Source organism: Homo sapiens, chromosome 21 (genome assembly GCF_000001405.40).
Source record: "Homo sapiens chromosome 21, GRCh38.p14 Primary Assembly".
NCBI lineage: Eukaryota > Metazoa > Chordata > Mammalia > Primates > Hominidae > Homo > Homo sapiens.
The window spans coordinates 32706311-32726968 of record NC_000021.9 but is presented as its reverse complement, the minus strand read 5'-3'; the positions used below and the strand labels follow the sequence as shown (position 1 = coordinate 32726968).

General features: G+C 38.3%; 1 protein-coding gene across 24 annotated transcripts in view; it reads left to right on the top strand.

Annotated features, from left to right (window-relative positions):
* The window catches only part of SYNJ1 (synaptojanin 1), a 99636-nt gene that overhangs the window by 1426 nt on the left and 77552 nt on the right, over positions 1 to 20658 (top strand). For 23 of the 24 annotated variants that reach the window (XM_047441038.1, XM_017028497.3, XM_017028499.3 and 20 more), the window contains exon 2: positions 52 to 197. In XM_047441038.1, coding sequence (XP_047296994.1) covers positions 52 to 197 — 146 coding nt within the window. Of the gene's footprint in view, positions 1 to 51; positions 198 to 20658 lie in introns of those variants that run through there. The other variant, XM_047441041.1, reaches the window with a different exon arrangement.

Here is a 20658-nt window from a genome sequence, read left to right as displayed (position 1 = left end):
TGCAGAAGGAAACATCAGCTTCATTTGCTTTGCTTTGCTTGGTTTTCGCAGGGCTGCCTCCGAAGAAAGGAGAATGGCGTTCAGTAAAGGATTCCGGATCTATCACAAATTGGATCCCCCACCTTTCAGCCTCATAGTGGAAACTAGGCATAAGGAAGAATGTCTCATGTTCGAGTCTGGGGCTGTCGCTGTGCTCTGTAAGTCATCTGTTAGAGCCCAATTTGTCATGGTCTCTGTTTTGATTTGAAACAATTCAGATGCAACCATTTTTTAGAAAAGAGCCCGACAACCCTTTCACTGTATTTCCTCTAGCAGATTATGCTTGTATTTCCTTTTAATCAAACTTATTTTCCTGCAAACTTTTTGTTAACAGGTTTTTGTTGAGGGGGTGCAGGGAGATGCAGGTTTTGGTTGCAGGATTTTGCTTTCTTGGGTTCTGCTGCTGCTTCTAAAAGTAAATGTTTTTTCCAAAGAAATATTGTTTCAGTTTGTATCATGTATCACATAAACCCATACAGTGTCTTGCTTGACATATTTACTGGTAGGTCAGTTATAGTAGTAGGTATTATCTAATATTATCCAATATTGTTGGAGTATTTCTGTTATGGCCGTTGTGTTTTCATTAAGGGAATTGTAAACAACCTCTAGATTTTCATGTGAGATACATGATTGATTTTGTATTATTTTTAAAAGTATTTTGATAGTCTAATTTAAAGAAAAGGACTATTGTACCACAAGAAAAATAGATTAGTAATGTTTGAGTTATTTTAGGGGCAGATGGATGAAATTAAAATTAATTTGGATACTGGGTCTTTCTTAATGTAAGATATGCCAGGTGTGGGGGCTCACGCCTGTAGTCCCAGCACTTTGGGAGGCCAAGGGGGGCTGATCGCTTGAGGCGGGGAGTTTGAGACCAGTCTGGGCAGCGTGGTGAAACCCTTTCTGTACAAAAAATACAAAAAGTAGTTCGGCTCCGTCGTGTGCCCTTTAGTCCCCGCTACTTGGGAGGCTGAGGTGGGCGGATTGATTGAGTCTGGAAGGTCGAGACTGCAGTGAGCCTTGATCTCGCCACTGCGCTCCAGCTTGGGCAACACAGTGAGACCCTGTTTCAAAAATTAAAAAGAAAAAAAAGTATATGATTATATATACACATATATATGATTTAGGCAAATAATCCTAGTGTTGGGATTAGTTTAGTTACTGATTATATCTTTATAAATTAAAAATAGTGTTTGAAAGGCATACTTACAAATATAAGCCCTTAAATATCTTAAACTACTAAGCTTTCTCCAGCCTCAATAAATGAAGAGCATAAGACCTCACTCTTTGCATGTAGAATATTAATGTCAGTTAAAGTGTTAACTTGACTAAATAGTATAATTGCATCTTGATGGGGAAAAAGATAGTGACATAATGAAAAGTCTTAAGCAAAGAACAGTATATAAGAAATATATATTTGGTACATATATTTTTTGAATGAAGGAGAAGGGGCTCTAGGTCTTCCAAGAAATAAGTATAAATAATATTGGCTATACTCAATCAGTATGGACTTAATTGCTTCAAGTTGTTTTTTGTATTTAAACTATACCTTGGTACAGTATTAATTTCCATTGCATATATTTTTTACTACAAGTGGAATTCTTATACTGATGAATTCTGAATTAAAATATTGTGGGGGTTGGGTGGGGCGAATGTTTGTTTTTGTATGGGAAGCATTTTTCAGCTGCTTGTGTTTTTTGGTGACGTTACCTGACTTACTAATCTTGTATAAATTCTAAATGTTTCTTTAATTATGATTACTCATAATAGCAAGTCAAATGTTCAGCTACAAACTGTGTATTACTTATAGTTTTTAGAATTATTGCTACACTTTACTCCAAGGTTAGGAAACCTAAGAATAATAATATTTCCAAAACCTCCAGCAGCCGTCTTTTATGCCAAATAATGGTTTGTTTTTACCAAAAGGCCCTAAAACATTTATTTTGGCATTAATGTGCATTCTAAGGAGAAAGAATATTAAAATATTGTCTAAGCTATTCTATTTTCATTAGATTTAGACTATGTGAGCAATTCAGAAAAAAAATGTTGGAATATTGACTCTTTCTGTAAAGCTAACATAAATGGATGTCTAATCTCTTGGAATGTCATTATCTTTCCTACTATAAGCTTTACAGTAATACTTAACATATTAATATTTAAGAGCTAACAAACCTTCTTAAGTCATTTGACTTTTAAAATTAATTTGGCCTTCATTTTGGAGTGATACCAAGGTTTGTATTGTGCTGTACAGTGTTCACTTAAAATCTTCACACTTTAAAAATGCCTATTGTATTCAGAAGCTGTGCTTGGAAAATATCAATGTGTTCTCTTCATCTTCAATAATCCCAGCTCCCTGAATTTCAGTGCATTCTGCATATTCATCTACCTGAAGAATCTTCTAAAATCATGTTTTTTCTTTGTTTGTTTGCTTGTTTGTTTTTTGAGACAGGGTCTCACTCTGTTGCCCAGGCTGGAGTGCAGTGGCATGATCTCGGCTCACTGCAACCTCCACCTCCTGGGTTCAAGTGGTTCTCCTGCCTCGGCCTCCCAAGTAGCTGGAATTATAGGTGTGTGCCACCACGCCTTGCTAATTTTTGTATTTTTAGTAGAGACAGGGTTTCATCATGTTGGCCAGGCTGGTCTTGAACTCCTGACCTCAGGTGATTCGCCTGCCTCAGCCTCCCAAAGTGCTGGGATTACAGGCGTGAGCCACCGCGCCCAGCCCTAAAATCATTTTTTATATTAAAGCAAAGTGTAACCCTGTTTTTCACCAAGATTAAGTTTGTACTCCTCAACCTGTCATTTGTCCAGTGTTGATCTCCTTTAAGGAGATCTGGTGTTTCCTCAGTGCCTTCCCAAGCACCATGCTTTTTTCAGCTTCATCATACTGTTGCTTTTTACACCTTCTTCCTCCAAGACAGCTAGAGTGCTGCTTCTCTAATCTGAGCCTGTCAGTCCCACCGAGGTCCTACTCAGGTCTTCTTCCTTCATAAGACTCTGCCCCAACCACTCCAGCTCACCTTTATCTCTACCTTCTCTTCATTTCTCTAGAACTTACTCTGTATCACAAGGTGCATACTTCTTTTTTGCTTTTATTTTTTGAGACATGGTCTTGTTCTGTCACCCAGGCTGGAGTGCAGTGGCATGATCACAGCTCACTGTAATTGAACTCCCTGGAACTCCCGGGCTCAATTGATCCTCCTGCCTCAGCCTCCTGAGTAGCTGGGACTACAGGCGCACACGACTATGCCCAGATAATTTTTTTCGTATTTTTTTGTAGATAGGGGGCTTCCTCATGTTGCCCTGCTGATCTCAGACTCCTGGGTTCATGGTTTCCACCTGCCTCAGGCTCCCAAAGTATTGGGATTACAGGCGTGAGCCACTGCTCGCAGCCAAGACGCATACTTCTTATGTGCTGGTTTTGTTGTTGTCTAAATGCTCATATGTAGGTGTTTTTCTTGGAAAGGGGTGGTGGAAGTGACCTTAGCAGGACTTGGTCTTTATGTACACAAAGTTCCTAATTTCAAGTCTCTACTTGCCCTGGCTTTACTTTAAAAAGTAAATTTTAAACAGACATTTTAGTCAGCATACAGTGTTGAGGATTAGCAATCACTTAATTTTCTTGGCCTTTGCTGAAGTGCCATGAGATACCCAACATGAAATTTTGTCTTTCATACTATTAGCACATACCAAAAGATTGCAAGTAAAAATACAATGAAAATAGTCTCATACAATGGATCCCCTTAGGGACCCACGTGTTCACTAATGCAGCCTCAAGACTCTGTCTTTATGTCGATAGGATTCTAAGCTTAAATCAGTCATGATGTTATGACATTATCAGTGTTACAGTCACCTGGGCAGCTTTTACAAATACTACTGTCTGGGCTCTAGCCCCCTGGATATTCTGATATAATTAGATTGTGATGCTCATTTCTGAGCAAAGTGTATTTAGGCCTTTCTATGATAGATTAGGGGATTGCTTTTTTTTGGCTTGCAGATTTTATCCAAAATAACCATGTTTCCAGAATTTTGGTGCTGTTGTCTTTTATGGGGCTACTAAGTAGTTTTCTTGAAACTGTCAGGCTGAACCAAGTGCTAATACTCTTGTAGCACTTTGAGTATAGTGCCTTCATATCATATGGAATTCTGCTCAGGTTCTGTGTCTGGATGCCGCACTCCTTGAGGAAAAGGCCTGTGTGTCTTAGTAATATTTGCAGTCTTAGTGCTTAGTGTAGTGTTTTACTCATACTTGAAGAAAATGTGATTATTAAATGAATGACAGCAAGGGAAAGACTAACCTAGATTACAAAGTTGATAAACATGCAGTTATTATGTTTGAAAATAAGAGATATTTTTCCGTAAATTTTTGTTGTTGTTTTTTGAGCAGAGTCTTGTTCTGTCACTGAGGCTGGAGTGCAGTGGTATGATCTCCGTGCACTGCAACCTCCGCCTCCTGGGTTCAAGTGATTCTCGTGCCTCAGCTTCCTGAGTAGCTGGGACTACAGGCGCACACCAACATGCCCAGCTAATTTTTGTATTTTTAGTAGAGATGGGGCTTCACCATGTTGGCCAGGCTGATCTGAACTCGTGAACTCAAGTGATCCACCTGCCTTGGCCTCCCAAAGTGCTGGGATTATAGGCGTGAGCCACCAAGCCCAGCCCTATAAAACTTATTTCATATACATACATGCATACATTATATATATATATATATATATATATATTTTTTTTTTTTTTTTTCTTTGAGATGGAGTTTCATTCTTGTTGCCCAGGCTAGAGTGCAATGGCACGATCTCGGCTCACTGCAACCTCCCCTTCCCAAGTTCAAGTGATTTTCCCGCATCAGCCTCCCAAGTAGCTGGGATTACAGGCATGCGCCATCATACCTAGCTAATTTTGTATTTTTAGTAGAGACAGGGTTTCTCCATGTTGGTCAGGCTGGTCTTGAACTCCCGACCTCAGGTGATCCGCCCGCCTTGGCCTCCCAAAGTGCTGGGATTACAGGCATAAGTCACTGCACCTGGCCTATTTCCTATGTTTTTGAGAATTGTTATCTGACTGAACTGCTGATATAAAAGATGTATATTACACATTATTTAGATTTGTTATTGACAAATCCTATTGGAAATAACTGTTAACCACATTATTAAGGTTCTTCTGAAATGCCAATTTGAAATGTCTATGATAAATGTTACTTATTATTTCTATAAGTACTATTAATTTGTTTCAAAATTACTTTTTTTTTTTTTCCAAGATGGAGTCTTGCTCTGTCACCCAAGTTGGAGTGCAGTGGTGCAATCTTGACTCACTACAGCCTCCGCCTCCTGGGTTCAAGGAGTTCTCCTGCCTCAGCCTCCTGAGTAGCTGGGACCACAGGCGCCCCCCACCACACCTAGCTAATTTTTCCTTATTTTTAGTAGAGACAGGGTTTCACCATGTTGGCCAGGCTGGTCTCAAACTCCTGACCTTGTGATCCACCCACCTCAGCTTCCCAAAGTGCTGAGATTATAGGCGTGAGCCACCACGCCTGGCCTTCAAAATTACCTGTTTAAAATAGAAAATAATTTCATTATTATTTCTTCTGTTGCATTGATTTATTTAAAACACTTTCTAAAAAGTTCTTACCCTTAGATAACAGTTAATATGTTTTTTAGGAGTGTACCCATTTTTAGCATTACTCAGTTTTGAAAAGTATTTGTACAGCAAGTGTTTGATTAAATTGCAATTTGATGTCTTTGGAATAGTGGTTCAGTGTAGCAGGTGAGCTCTGTGACTAGTTTGCTGCATCTACCAGTTTAAGCAGCTTGTGTGATGGTTAGCAAGTTATAAACAGGTACATATTTTTTTCCTGGAAACAATTTATTAAGAGATAAAAGATGTCTCTCAGCTTTGTGTACAATTCATTGTTCTTAGTCTTTCTCCAGTTTACACACACATACACAAAGACTGTCACAGGAGAAGGACAAGCTGTCAGTCTGACATACATGCATTAAATTCACAATCTCAATATTTTACAGCCCATCTCAGGCTTCAATAAAGTGAATGATTCATTTCATAATTATATCCTAAATAGAAGATGGAGTAAAGAAAAGGTCAACATATGGGAAATGGAGGATAACTCTAAAAACAGAAGTTATGGACCTCTACGTAAAAGATGGGGAGGTGAGGTGGCGCCATGGATTCCTAACTCTTAAAATTAAAGCTTTTGCTCTTTTCCATATTACATGCTAGCATGGGAGTAAGGATGAATTGCTTTTATCTGTCTAGTGGTAAGATTACTTTCAGGCTTTTCAAGTAGCATAATTTGAGTCAGATTAGGACTCAAATCATGCATTTTATAAATAGCAAGGCCATATCACTGCACCTGGTTTTCCTCCAAGTTGTCCTTATGAGATTCTTTGTCTACCTAATTTTTTCTTACAACATAAGTCATAATACTATATATAATACTCAATATAAGTCATAATACTATAGGATGATATTCTGAGATCTTTATTACAGAATATGAAATATCCTCTCTTTTCTATAAAACTGCGTAAAGGACTAATCGTAGTGAAATGATAATGGCTACCACTTACTGGAAGCTTATTCTGCCAGTCACAACATTAAGCCAGAGGTTTTTAAACTTCATTGTTTTATGGTGACCTTATTATCTCATTAAGTTGTTTTTGTTTTTGTTTTTGTTTTTGAGAGGGAGAGTTTCGCTCTTGTTGCCCAAGCTGGAGTGCAATGGTGCGATCTCGGCTCACTGCAACCTCTGCCTCCCGGGTTCAAGCAGTTCTCCTGCCTCAGCCTCCCAAGTAGCTGGGATTACAGGCATGTGGCACCACGCCCAGCTAATTTTGTATTTTTAGTAGAGACGGGGTTTCTCCATGTTGGTCAGGCTGGTCTTGAGCTCCTGACCTCAGGTGATCTGCCCACCTCGGCCTTCCAAAGTCCTGGGATTACAGGTGTGAGCCACTGTGCCTGGCCTCGTTAAGTTTTTCACAACACCCCTAGGCCACAAACAATACTTAATAGTTCTGTTTATTAAATAGTTAGGTCCAAAAAATATTTGTGTCCCAACAGCTTTTGTAGCTGTTCAAAAAAAAAAATGCAGAAAAAATAGAACATTTATTTTCTTCATAAGTAACCACAATTTACTAATGAGATGTGTGTGCTTGTTGAGCACTGAGCACTAAATAGCTTTTCTTTTTCTTTCTTTTTTTTTTTTTTTAAGATGGAGTTTTACTCTTGTCACCCAGGTTGGAGTGCAATGGCACGGTCTCGGCTCACTGCAACCTCTGCCTACGGGTTCAAGCAATTCTCCTGCCTCAGCCTCTCAAGTAGCTGGGATTGCAGGCACCCGCTACCACACCTGGCTAATGTTTGTATTTTTAGTAGAGACGGGGTTTCACCATGTTGGCCAGGCTGGTCTCGAACTCCTGACCTCAGGTGATCTGCCCACCATGGCCTTCCAAAGTGCTGGGATTACGGGCGTGAGCCACTGCTCCCAGCCTGCATAGCTTTTCAAACCTTGGAACAGAGTACACTGCCGTCCTCATTTCCTGTTCCACATTGATTTTCAAGTGACACTTGCTTTTATCACAGCAACCAGCAAAAACCCGGTTTCACTAATATATATCATCCAAGGAATGCACTGCAATCTAATATGACAACTCAAGCACCTCAGGTTAATAGTTTGGCTGGTTTCCAGCATGTGTTGAGAATCTCAGTGTTTCCTTCTGTTTAAAATATGCAGCTTCCCTGGGAGTTTGCTGTAGTGCCGTGGGGCATCTGAGCACACAGTTCAGGAGATGTGGCATTTGACACACTTTATTTCATTCAGTTCAGATTGTGCTTTTATCCACATTTCAGAGATTTGGAAACTGAGGATTGGAAAGATAACTGCCCCAATGACATAGTCCTACCATTTAATTTTTTTTTACTGTAATTATTGTTTGTGCTGTTGTGAGGCTATTGTATTACCATATATTGTGTGGCTATTATTTTCAGGGGTGGGGAATGAAGTGTAAAAATAAGGGAAGGCGTTAAGGTTAAGAGTGTAATTGGTAGCATTTTCTAATGAGGGAACTGTACACTTGTGTTTTTCCCTACAAACTATTAACATATTAATATATTAGAGGAGAAAGTATGGTTTAATTTACAGTAAAGTCATTAAAAACAAAGTTTCTTTCCTGGGCCAAGTTAAATGTCAGGTTCTAGACTTTTGGATAAATATAGTAGGTGGTAATGCCAAACAGTGTGTGTAGTTTGTTTTTTTTTTTTAATTGCCAAACGCTGTCAACATGATTGCCCTTTAGATAAGTTGCAGTGTCCTGTCTCTTTTAAAGAAAAATTTGCAAGTTGAGGGAAGAAGTGACTTTTTATAGTTGACTTTTTCAGCAGAGAAATCATGAAATTTAGACTTGTTATATATCACTTTATGTTAGGGTTGCAAAAATTCATTTTCTTTTTATAAATACCTTTGGAAGGTGCATATTTATTTTCTTTCTTTTTTTATGTGCCCCTGTAGTCTGAGGAATGTACGTATTTAATAGAAAGTAACTTAAATGTCAACTCTTTAAAAAGAAAATCAACCAAACTTTTTTATTCTGGGTTGGTAGTAGGATTGACCTAGGGTCAAACCAGTAGTTAGTTCTTAAGTGCTTTCATTTCTTCACCACTTAACTTTGCTATGAGGAAATAAAAAGGAAAGGCAGAACTTCCACTCTCACTGAATAGTAAAAACTCTGTGGCTTTTTATTACATCATCTCAGGTCTATCAGATGTTCTAACTTGTCCTATAAAATATACGTAACTCAGGACTATAACGGGAGCTTCTGACCATAGTGGAGTAACAGGAACTAGATTTACCCTCCTACCTTAAGTAACAACAACAAAATGAACAAAATACATGGAATGATTTGCAGACCTTGAACAAAAGGCAGCACAAGATGCTGACCCCTGAGAGAAGGGAAACAAATGAGGTGGGTTTTATGAATGCTCCAGCTTACTGCCTGGAGAGCTTCCAGGCCACAGCAGCAGAAGAGTCACTCAAGCAAAGCTTGACAGGATTCCTGAGTAGGGAATATGGGGAGGCCAAGGCAGCCAGAATCTCAGGGCTGTGTACTAGAGATGAGACAGTTGCACAAAGAGCTCCAGAGATCTGTAGAGGACTCCGTTTGAGACTTCAGCTCAGTGTTGATCGGTGCCAGTGTGTAAGGAAACCATTTGAGGCAGGGAAAGAATCACCAAAAAGGAGTAGGCAGAAAAATTTCTGGAGCTCACACAGGGCTGGGAATAGTTCATGTTTAACAACTAGAGTGGAGAAGTCCTGCATGGAGAATTAGGTTGAGTACTGCAAAGGGTATACTGCTTCAGTAAAGGGGCAAAGTAGTCCTAGACTAAATTCCACTCCAGCCCTCCCTAACAAAGCTTAAAAGCAAGACCCAAAGGGATGCCACTGTTTCCAAGTAACCGAACTTCCAAATAACTGTATCCCAGAACGAAGTTTAAGAATATTTATAGGAATATAGGAAAATATACCTCATAAGGAGCAAAGTCAAATGTAGAAACAGATGCTGTAATAGACAAGGACATTAAAACAGCTATTGTAAATATACTCCATATGTTCAACAAGTAGAGGAAAAAATGAACCTGTTAAGACGAGATATGAAAAATGTGAAAGAGGCCAGGCACGGTGGCTTACACTGTTAATCCCAGCACTTTGGGAGGCCGAGGTGGGCGGATCACCTGAGGTCAGGTGTTCAAGACCAGCCTGGCCAACATGGTGAAATCCCATCTCTACTAAAAATACAAAATTAGCCGGGCGTGGTGGCAGGCACCTGTAATCCCAGCTACTCGAGAGGCTGAGGCAGGAGAATTACTTGAACCCAGGAGTTGGAGGTTGCAGTGAGCCAAGAGCATGCCATTGCATTCCAGTCTGGGCAACAGAGCAAGACTCCGTCTCTAAAAAAAAAAAAAGTGAAAGACCCAAATTAGACTTCTAGATGTGGTAGGGATTACTATATTAGACATTGTAGAAGAAATGATTGGCAAACTTGAAGACATAGTAATAGAAACTGTCCAAAATAAAATACAGAGAGAAAAAAGGCTAAAATAAATAAATACACAGAGCATCAGTGAACTGCAGGACGACTTCCGGTGACCCAATATACATGAATATGTGGATCCCAGAAAGAAGTTGGTAGGGAAGAAAAACACTTGAAGAAATAATAGCTGGCACTTTTGCAAATTTCATGAAAGCTATGAATCCACATATCCAAGAAGCTAAATGAACATAAAGCAGAACACTATACCCAAATACATGATCAAGTTACTGTTTACCAGTGATACAGAGAAGATCTTAAAAGTAGCCCAAGGAAGAAAAGACACACATTTACAGAAGAGTGAAGATAAGAATGATAGTAGACTTTTCTTTGCAAGCAATCCAAGCCAGAGGACATTGGGAACATCTTTAAAGTACTGGAAGGAAGAAACCAAACCAAACCATTCACCTAGAGTTTTGTACCCAACCACAAATGAAGATGTAAAGACTTTTCAGACATTCGAAGGTTGAAAAAATATGAGCTAATTATAATGACTAGCAGTTTAATATTGTAGTATTACCTTTCTTAGTATCCAATACCAACATTTTCAAAACTTTTGAGATTATAAAGTCTGAATCAGTGAAATTTTGAAAGAAGCATACAAAGTGAAAGAAGCAATAAAGAGTGGAATGGGCTAGTGCAATTGTTTAGCCTTGTTAGAGTATCAAAAGGAAGTATAGTTTTAAAAATTGTGCATGATTTTTACTGGTGACAATTAAAATTTGCTTTGAGTGTTTTAATGGTTGTTAATAAGAATTTGTATTTTATCTTTTTCCAGCTTAAATAGAGTTTATAAATATAAGCCATTGCTGATCAGTAGTGTTACGTATGTGAGCACATGCATTCACATTGGGTTGCATTTCATAGCTACTGAACCAAATGATGAATGATTTGGCACTTGGAGAAAATAAATTTGGCATTTGGAGAGATATATAAATTCTTCTTGGTTGGATACTCATTACTTCCTCAGTTCAGAATGAAAAAATTTTAGACCCTTGAAATTCCTGGATAATTCTGGGCCAACTGAGTCAGTGAAAAGAAAAAAATTAAAAAAAAACTTTATTGTCTCAAAACATTAAATATTTCTATATGTTAAATGTACTTATTAAAATTTTGTGTTTCTATTTCATTATAGTCTTATTTAACTTTTTATATATAAAGGTGTGTTTACTTATATAACTAGCTCTTAGCAATAAATATTTATTATGAGTTATGTTTCATTCTGTTCACTAGTGGACCATAGGATTGCTGTAATCTCTTGAATGTGTTGCTGAAATATAGATAAACAAAATCATTTAATATCCTGTGGACCATGTGTGAACTATAAGTAGAATGAATCTTCTTTTTTCAATTTTTTTTTTTTTTGAGACAGAGTCTCACTTTGTTGCCCAGGCTGGAGTGCAGTGGCATGATCTTGGCTCACTGTAACCTCAGCCTCCTGGGTTCAGGTGATTCTCCTGCCTCAGCATCCCGAGTAGCTGAAATTATGGGTGTGCACCACCATGCCCAGCTGATTTTTGTATCTCTTTATTAGAGACAGGTTTCACCTTACTGGCCAGGCTGGTCTCGAACTCCTGACATCAAGTGATCCACCTGCCTCAGCTCCCCAAAATGCTGGGGTTACAGGCGTGAGCCACCGTGCCCGGCCTCTTTTTGTTTTTATTTTTAAATTCCAGAATCTTATAATTAAATAAATTTCTAGCTGGTTGTACCTTAGTGCTCATTAGTTGTCTTTCCTTGGTTAGCATTGGGAATATATCTTTGGCCTATCTTGTTCCCAGTTTTATCAATTCTCTTAGAGAATGGAGTAGAAAGTACAGTTTTCAGATTTTTAGTTGTGGCAAAGTGACGTAGGATTGATGAGAGCTGGGTTGAATAATTATGTTGGATGACACAATTGAGATCCAGCTTTTTGAAACTCAGATAATGGGTTAGAACCCACAAAAGGAAAATGCACTTCCCCTTGCACCGGATTGAGTGTTTGTGTATTCCTGAACCAAAAATGACTGTTGAGATATCATGTGCTGTTTGCATCAGGTAGATCATTGGCAGAAGAAGGTAGAAATTTCTGTGATTTCCATAGTATCACAAACTGTTTGGTGGCTACCAAATGAGGAAGAGTTGGAATAGGTACCGTATTGATGGTCTTACCAACCACTGCATATCCTCAAACCTGATCTTTCCTTCAGTCTCCCTTATGTCAATGGATTGCACTCCATCTACCAAGTTGTTTCAAACAACTTAAGAATCATCCTCAACACCTCTTCCCCTCACATTTCACACATTCTCTCTATTACCAAGTCTAGTCAATTCCTCCTCTTAATTTCCTTGAGATTCCATGCAACTGCCTGCATTTAGCTGGCTCTGTTTCAATCAAGACACTGTTGTCTCTTTCATGGATCATTACAATTCCCTCCTTAACTGGTCCCTCTGCTTCTACTTACCACGCCTACACCCCAGTCTTTTAAAAAACATGGTTTAGATCTTATTAATCCCCTGCCTAATACTCTTCAGTGATTGGCCACTGAAGTTAAAATCTAAACTCTAAGATGACCTACAATAAAATCGAGTTTCTGCTTCCCTCTTCAACCTGTTACCACTTTACCTCTTGGTTTCTATGTTCTAACCTCATTGGCCGCCTTTCAGTTCTGAATGTACCAAATTCTTTCTGGCGTCAGGGTCTTTACATATGCTGTTCCGTCTGCTCAAATGTATTTTTTTAAAATAATAAGCTTTTTAAATTATAATACATGTAGAAAAGTATATAAATCTTAAACATACAGCTTGATATATTATTATAGAATGAACATACCCTTATTACCACAACTGGGTTGAGAAATAGAATATTATTACTAGCATACCAGAGAGCTTTCCAGAGAATAATCCCCTCATGCTCCTTCCCAGTTATCTTTATTATGATCTGCAAAGATAATCACTATTCAGACCTCTTACATCATGGAATAGTTTTAAGTGTTTTTCAGCTTAACATAAATGGAGTCATTCTCTGTGTATTCTTTGGTATCTAGCTCCTTTCACTCAATGAAATCATCCATGTTGACATATGGGAAATCATCCATGTTGACATATGGGAAATCATCCATGTTGATATATGGGAAATCATCCATGTTGATATATGGGAAATCATCCATGTTGATATATGGGAAATCATCCATGTTGATATATGGGAAATCATCCATGTTGACATATGGGAAATCATCCATGTTGACATATGGGAAATCATCCATGTTGACATATGGGAAATCATCCATGTTGACATATGGGAAATCATCTATGTTGATATATGGGAAATCATCCATGTTGATATATGGGAAATCATCCATGTTGACATATGGGAAATCATCCATGTTGACATATGGGAAATCATCCATGTTGACATATGGGAAATCATCCATGTTGACATATGGGAAATCATCCATGTTGACATATGGGAAATCATCCATGTTGATATATGGGAAATCATCCATGTTGACATATGGGAAATCATCCATGTTGACATGGGAAATCATCCATGTTGATATATGGGAAATCATCCATGTTGACATATGGGAAATCATCCATGTTGATATATGGGAAATCATCCATGTTGACATATGGGAAATCATCCATGTTGACATATGGGAAATCATCCATGTTGATATATGGGAAATCATCCATGTTGACATATGGGAAATCATCCATGTTGACATATGGGAAATCATCCATGTTGTAGCAAGTGGCAGTAGTTTACTCATATTTGTTGCAGTGTAGTCCATTTTATGAATATTAAAATATTTAGCTGTTTTGTTGACATTTGCTTTATTTCCAATTTTGCTATTATAAATGACACAAGTATGAACATCCTTGTACATGTTTTTTGGTACATATATGTACACATTTCTGTTGGCTGTATTCTTAGGAATGGAATTGCTGGATCACAGTATATACGTATGTCGCCTGAAACATTTTTATCTCCACCGTTTATTTGGCTAGCCTTCCTGTCTCACTATAAAGGTCACTTCCTCAGTGAGGTTTATTCTAATCATTGTCCTCCTCCAACAAACAATTTAAAATTAGGTTCTCCCATTGTAATCTGTTAGAACTCCATTATAGTACTTACTATAATTTATAATTTTGCATTTGTATGGTTATATAATTCCTGTCTTCCTAATCTGATTCCTAAGAAGGTGTCACGGTACTGACTGTTTTTATTCCTAGAACCTTGCCAGGGGCCTGGTGCATGGTAGGCATTCAATAAATACTTCTTGCGTGAATGAAAGTTTTTTTTTTTTCCTTAAATGTCACCAAGATTGGAATGTGAAGTTTAAATAGGACATTAATTTAGATAGTTTAATATCTTTCAGCTGGAATTTTAATTACTTTTGTAAGAGAAACCTTTTCCTTTTAAAATAATTTTTCTCTTTATATATGATGAAATGGAAAGAAGCTTTACTGCCAGCTAGTTATGTGATCTTGGATGAATGATCTAATCTCTACTCTTTTTCTTCTGAAAATGAGAAGCTTGGATTACATGATCTCTAGGATCCTCATACAGGAGGTTCTCTGGTTCTATACCAAAGTGCTGTCTGCATGCAAATAAGCTCACCACAAACTGCAGTGCATGCAACCACAGGCAAATTGTGGTTCTAGAGAGATCATTCTAACATGCAGTCTTATTTTTACATTGTTATTGACCTTCTTTAGCTTAGTCTTCTGTATCAGCTGGGGAAGAACAGTGTATTCTCAGACTGCAAGGTTTGACCCACAGCAGAATGTTGACATTGGATAGTAGGCCCTTCATTTGGATGGCTTTATTATTTAGCTTAAATTATTATAATCCATCAGAAGTTGGAGAAATTTACATTTAAATTTAATCCTGAAAATACTTTTAAAGTAAAATGAAAGTGACATTTAAGTTACCTATTGCTCTTGGATAAGAAGTTAATTTTGTTTCTTTTCTGTTCAGATGTGGAGTTAGCAATGCAGGTGTGATTATCATGCGACAACTATGTTATGTTTAACAAGCCTCTCTTTTAGAGCCACAACTCATGAAAATCAAGAAATAGGTATATGATTATGTCTTCATCTGAATTTTTATATTTGATCCTAATACTTCATTATTTGCCTTAAATTCTAATTTGAGAAACGAGGTTGTAATACAACAATGCTGAATAATGCCAGTTATGTCACATGACATAGTATTATAAGTCATTGCTGGGCGCGGTGGCTCACACCTGTAATCCCAGCACTCTGGGAGGCTGAGGTGGGCAGATCATGAGGTCAAGAGATCGAGACCATCCTGGCCAACATGGTGAAACCCGTTTCTACTAAAAATACAAAAATTAGCTGGGCATGGTGGCGCGCGCCTGTAGTCCCAGCTACTCTGGAGGCTGAGGCAGAAGAATCGCTTGAACACAGGAGGTGGAGGTTGCAGTGAGCCAAGATCACACCACTGCACTCCAGCCTGGCGACAGAACGAGACTCCATCTCAAAAAAAAAAAAAAGTAAGTCACTCCAGAAAAAAGAAAAAGGTGGAGGATGTCAAATAATATGATAGAGCACAATTGATATGTTAAATTTTGATAGAGAACAATTGATATATTTATACTCTGAGTGTTTTCTGTAGTCTATAAATAGACCACCTCTACCGTTTCTATTTTTGTCACCTTCCAGTAGCTTAACGAGGAAAAGTTGTAGGTTGGGGCTCCCTTCAGTCATGCATGAATTTGTTCAGTTAAAAGAAGTTTGAAAACATGCACAAAACTAAAATAAGGAAGGAGTTGAGTTATCTGAATTAAGTTGTAGGATATTACTACCTCATGGCTTTATATAGTTTTAAATATTTCCTAACTTCTGTGATAATGAGCAAAAACAAACTTATTATTTTCCAAGTATAGTTTCCATTTCAACAGTTAGAATATTAAAACTAAATTATTTAGGAAGAATATAAGGAAAACATTGATGGCAGGGTATAACAATATTTACCCTTCCTAAGGCCTCCATTCTGGAATTACTAAATCTTTTCCTTTCTTAATTTATTATATATTTACTATTTGATGAGTGTTTGAGAGCCTTGGGAAGTGTGGGCTATGGGGCCATTCTAAAGATTGTAGGACTTACAAGTCCCTTTGAAGTTTATAAAAGTCCAAATCAATCAGGTGCAATGGCTCACACTTATAATCCCAGCACTTTGGGAGGTTGAGGCGGGAGAATCGCTTGAGCCCAGGGGTTTCAGGTTACAGTGAGCTATGATCATGCCACTGCACTCAGGCTTGGGTGAGAGTGAGAGATCCTGTTTGGGAAAAAAAAAAAAGTTCAAATGTCTGTTAAACTTTTGGCTAATGCACTCCTGGTCTAGGGTAATTAGAGAAAAGTTCTTCTCTGATCCCTTAGAATTCCAGTAGCTTCTGGCTGTCTCAAGATAATTGGCCAGAGTTATCTCTCTCCTTTCTGAATTTATCCAATAGTTCAAAGAATGTAATAATTTTTTTAACATTTTATTTGGAGAAATAGTGTAACTGTTACATATGTCACCTAGCCTCCATAATATCAACTCATGGACACTTTTGTTTTTCTATATTTCTACCTACTATCTCTCCCTCCTTATTTATTTATTTATTTATGTTTTTATTTATTTATTTTGAGAAGGCATCTTGTTCTGTCACTCAGGCTGGAGTACAATGATGTAATCTCGGCTCACTGCAACCTCAACCTCCTGGGTTCGAGCTTTTATGCCTTAGCCTTCCAAGTAGCTGGGATTACAGGTGTCTGCAACCATGCCCGGCTAATTTTTGTATTTTTTGTAGTAGAGATGGGTTTTTTACCATGTTGGCCAGGCTAGTCTCAAACTCCTGACTTCAAGTGATCCTCCCACCTTGGCCTCCCAAAGTGCTGGGATTACAGGCATGAGCCACCACACCCCACCTGATTTCCATTTCTTTCACATGAAACACATGGCAGTGAGAATTCTGTCAATACTCTTTAAGCATAACATAAGTACATGAGTTTAATAGGCAGTGTTTTTGGCTGGACACCATGGCTTACGCCTATAATCCCAGCACTTTGGGAAGCCAAGGTGGGAGGATCACCGGAGCTCAGGAGTTCAAGACCAGCCTAGCCAAAATGGTGAAACCCCATCTCTACTAAAAATACAAAAATTAGCTGGGCGTGTTGGTGGGCACCTGTAATCCCAGCTACTCGAGAGGCTGAGGCAGGAGAATTGCTTGAACCCAGGAGGCGAAGGTTACAGTGAGCCAAGATCGCGTCACTGCACTCTAGCCTAGGTGACAAGAGTGAGACTCTGTCTCAAAAAAAAAAAAACACTCCATAAAATCTCTTTCTTTTTTTTTTTTTTTTTTTTTTTTGAGACAGAGTCTTGCTGTGTCGCCCAGGGTGGAAAGGCGGTGGTGTGATCTTGGCTCACTACTACCTCCGCCTGCCGGCTTCAAGTGATTCTCCTGCCGTAGCCTCCTGACTAGCTGGGACTACAGTTGTGCGCCACCACGCCCTGCTAATTTTTGTATTTTTAGTAGAGACAGGGTTTCACCATGCTGGTTTCAAACTCCTGACCTCAGTGAGCCACCCACCTTGGGCCTCCCAAAGTGCTGGGATTATAGGTGTGAGCCACTGTGCCCAACCGGCAGTGTTTTTTCTTAAGTCAGTAAAAATTTTACTGTCTAAAAGCGTGTTGGATCCATGGGTGAATTGAAATATATTTCTAATACATAAGTAAGATTGGTTTTTATTTAGCTTTTTAATTGTTCTGTGATTAACAAGCCATTGAAAAATGAATCTTGTTAATTGTTAAAATCTTCTTATTGTCTTTATATGGCAAGTTTTGGTTATCCCTCACCTGTTACATATTGTTCCACCTTTATTTTTTATTTTTTAGAGGTGGGGTCTTGCTATCTTGCCTAGGATGGTGTTGAACTCTTGGGTTCAAGCAATCCACTTGCTTGGCCTCTTAAAGTGTTAGGATTACAGGCGTGAGCCACCACACCCAGCAAAATGATTCTTTTTGGGCCCACAAAGAAGTTTTTCTTTTCTAATAAAGAGCTGGTATCAAATGAAAAAAAAAAAAGGTACCTAAGAAAAGGTATGAATGAAAGATGGTGTTGAGTATGACATGGGAAAAATAGTCTTTTCCTTTAAAATAAGCTATAGAGGGAGTTAGGTACTATTTATTCCTGAGGTGTTATAGCAGAAACTTTAGAAGTTGGAATTTGCTTTAGCTTATGTGTTCAGCATGTGAACTAATGCGGTGCAGGCCGCCTTACCTCACCTGAACTGCTGTCGATCTTGATGGGCTCAGAATCACTCCGAAAGCAATTCTCTTCTGGGACATTCCTACCTACTTATGGTTAGAAATCAGTAACTTACAAAGAAAGGTTTGTTTTGCCTAGCATCTCGTTTGTTTAATAACCACCATGAATAGGAGGGGAAAAAAAATACCTCTTCACAAAAGGGAGTTTATTCCATTCGTTGAAAGTGCAGTGGATGCCTTGAAAGACTGCACTAGCAGGAAAGTGACCTGAACTTCCTCCCTAACACGGTATCTTCCGAACTTTCATTTCCGCTCATTCTTTCAGTTTGTTTCCTCTGAGCTCCCCACACACCCTGCCACTTCATAAACTTCAGTATTTTAAACCCTAGTTAGCAACCATTTAACAATGCCTATATTTCCCACCCCCACCTTACTACTCCCTGCCACAGGCATACACATTTGAAAGTTTCCAGACGTAACTGAGGAGTTGTTGAATGTGAATCTCAGTAATGAGGGCATTCAAATACTTTCAATGATAAAGTAAAATGTTTTACCTCTTTTTTGAGACGGAGTCTCACTGTGTCACCCAGGCTGGAGTGCGGTGGCACATCTTGGCTCACTGCAACCTCCGCCTCCCAGGCTCAAGCAGTTCTCCTGCCTCAGCCTCCCAAGTAGCTGGGATTACAGACATGCATCATCACGCCCACCTAATTTTTGTATTTTTAATAGAGACGGGGTTTCACCATGATGGCCAGGCTGGTTTCGATCTCCCAACCTCAGGTGATCCACTTTATATATTATTTTTAAATTAGCAAAACATGTTCTTTAATGCACAACCTTTCCATTTGTTTTTGTCTATTAGATGAACATTTAATCAGCAATTGCAGTGTTCCATTCAGAGTCTCTGTGTTAGGTTAGGTATTGTGTTGAGATATAAGGAAATGAGGCTAGGTGCAGTTGCTCATGCCTGTAATCCCAGTACTTTGCGAGGCCAAGGCAGGAGGATCACTTGAAGCCAGAAGTTTCAGACCAGCCTGGGCAACATAGAAAGACCCTGTCTCTACAAAAAATAAAAATTAACCAGGTATGGTGGCACGTACCTGTAGTCCTAATACTACTCAGTAGTAGTCCTGTAGTATTAGTGCCTGTAGTCCTAGCTACTCAGGAAGGAGGCTGAGGCAGGAGGATCACTTGAGCCCAGGAGCTTGAGGTTACAGTGAGTCATGATTGTGCCACTGTACTCCAGGGTGGGTGATAGAGTGAGATCCTGTCTCAAAAAAAAAAAAAAAAAAAAAGGAAAAAGAAATAAGACTTAGTTTCTGTTGTTACTAGTTTACATGTAACTATAGTATAAAATAGGAGAAAGATTTACCTCCAGCTAGAGTGATCAGGGAAAATCTTTGGGAAGGGAAGTGGTGTTTTAATTTGGAACTGAAGGATAGGTAATATTTGGAAACACAAAGATGATTAAAGGTTGGTCCAGATGAAACAACAGTATGAAAAAAGGGAGAAAGGGAAGAGAATGTGGAACATGTGGGCAACAAAATTATTCATTTTGGCTGAAGCATGGGATGCAAGGGAGATTATTAAGGGAAAAAGAATGATGGTGATGATTGTAAAATATTTCCAAGTGCTGTATTTTATCTAAAGATTATACATATTATTTTATGTAATGTTGTATATAGCCTTTCTTATTTTAAATAATCTCTTTATAGTAGAAGATTCTAAAATAATTTTCTGGAATTAAATTATCAGAGAAGTGGGGCAGAAATTTAATTAGGTTCATCCCCCTTCCATCATGTATTTTTGTGAAGTTTATGGAGTCTCATAAAATAAGGAAATCTTTTTTCCCCATTAAAAAAATGTACAGGGAGGGAATAACAAGGTATTTAGAAGAGTTTACCTTATTAACGTCAGAGATAAAAGCTTCTTTATCTGGGAATAAGTATATGTATTTTTAAAAATTATTTTTGCTGGTTACATTGAAAAAATTTTAATTTTGCAGCAATTTAAAACATAAAGAAAGGTTGAAGTATAGTACAAATAACTTTTTTTCCTCTGGACTTCTTTTTTTTTTTTTTTGCCCCAGAACTGAGTGGATTCTCTGGACTTTTTAAGAATAGGTTGCTGACATGATGACCCATCACCCCCAAATACTTTGCTATGTATTTCCTAGAAAGACATTCTCTTGTAAAACTATCATAAAATTAACAGTGATGTATTATGGCTATCTAATCCTTATCCTCTCTTCAATTTTTACCAATTGCC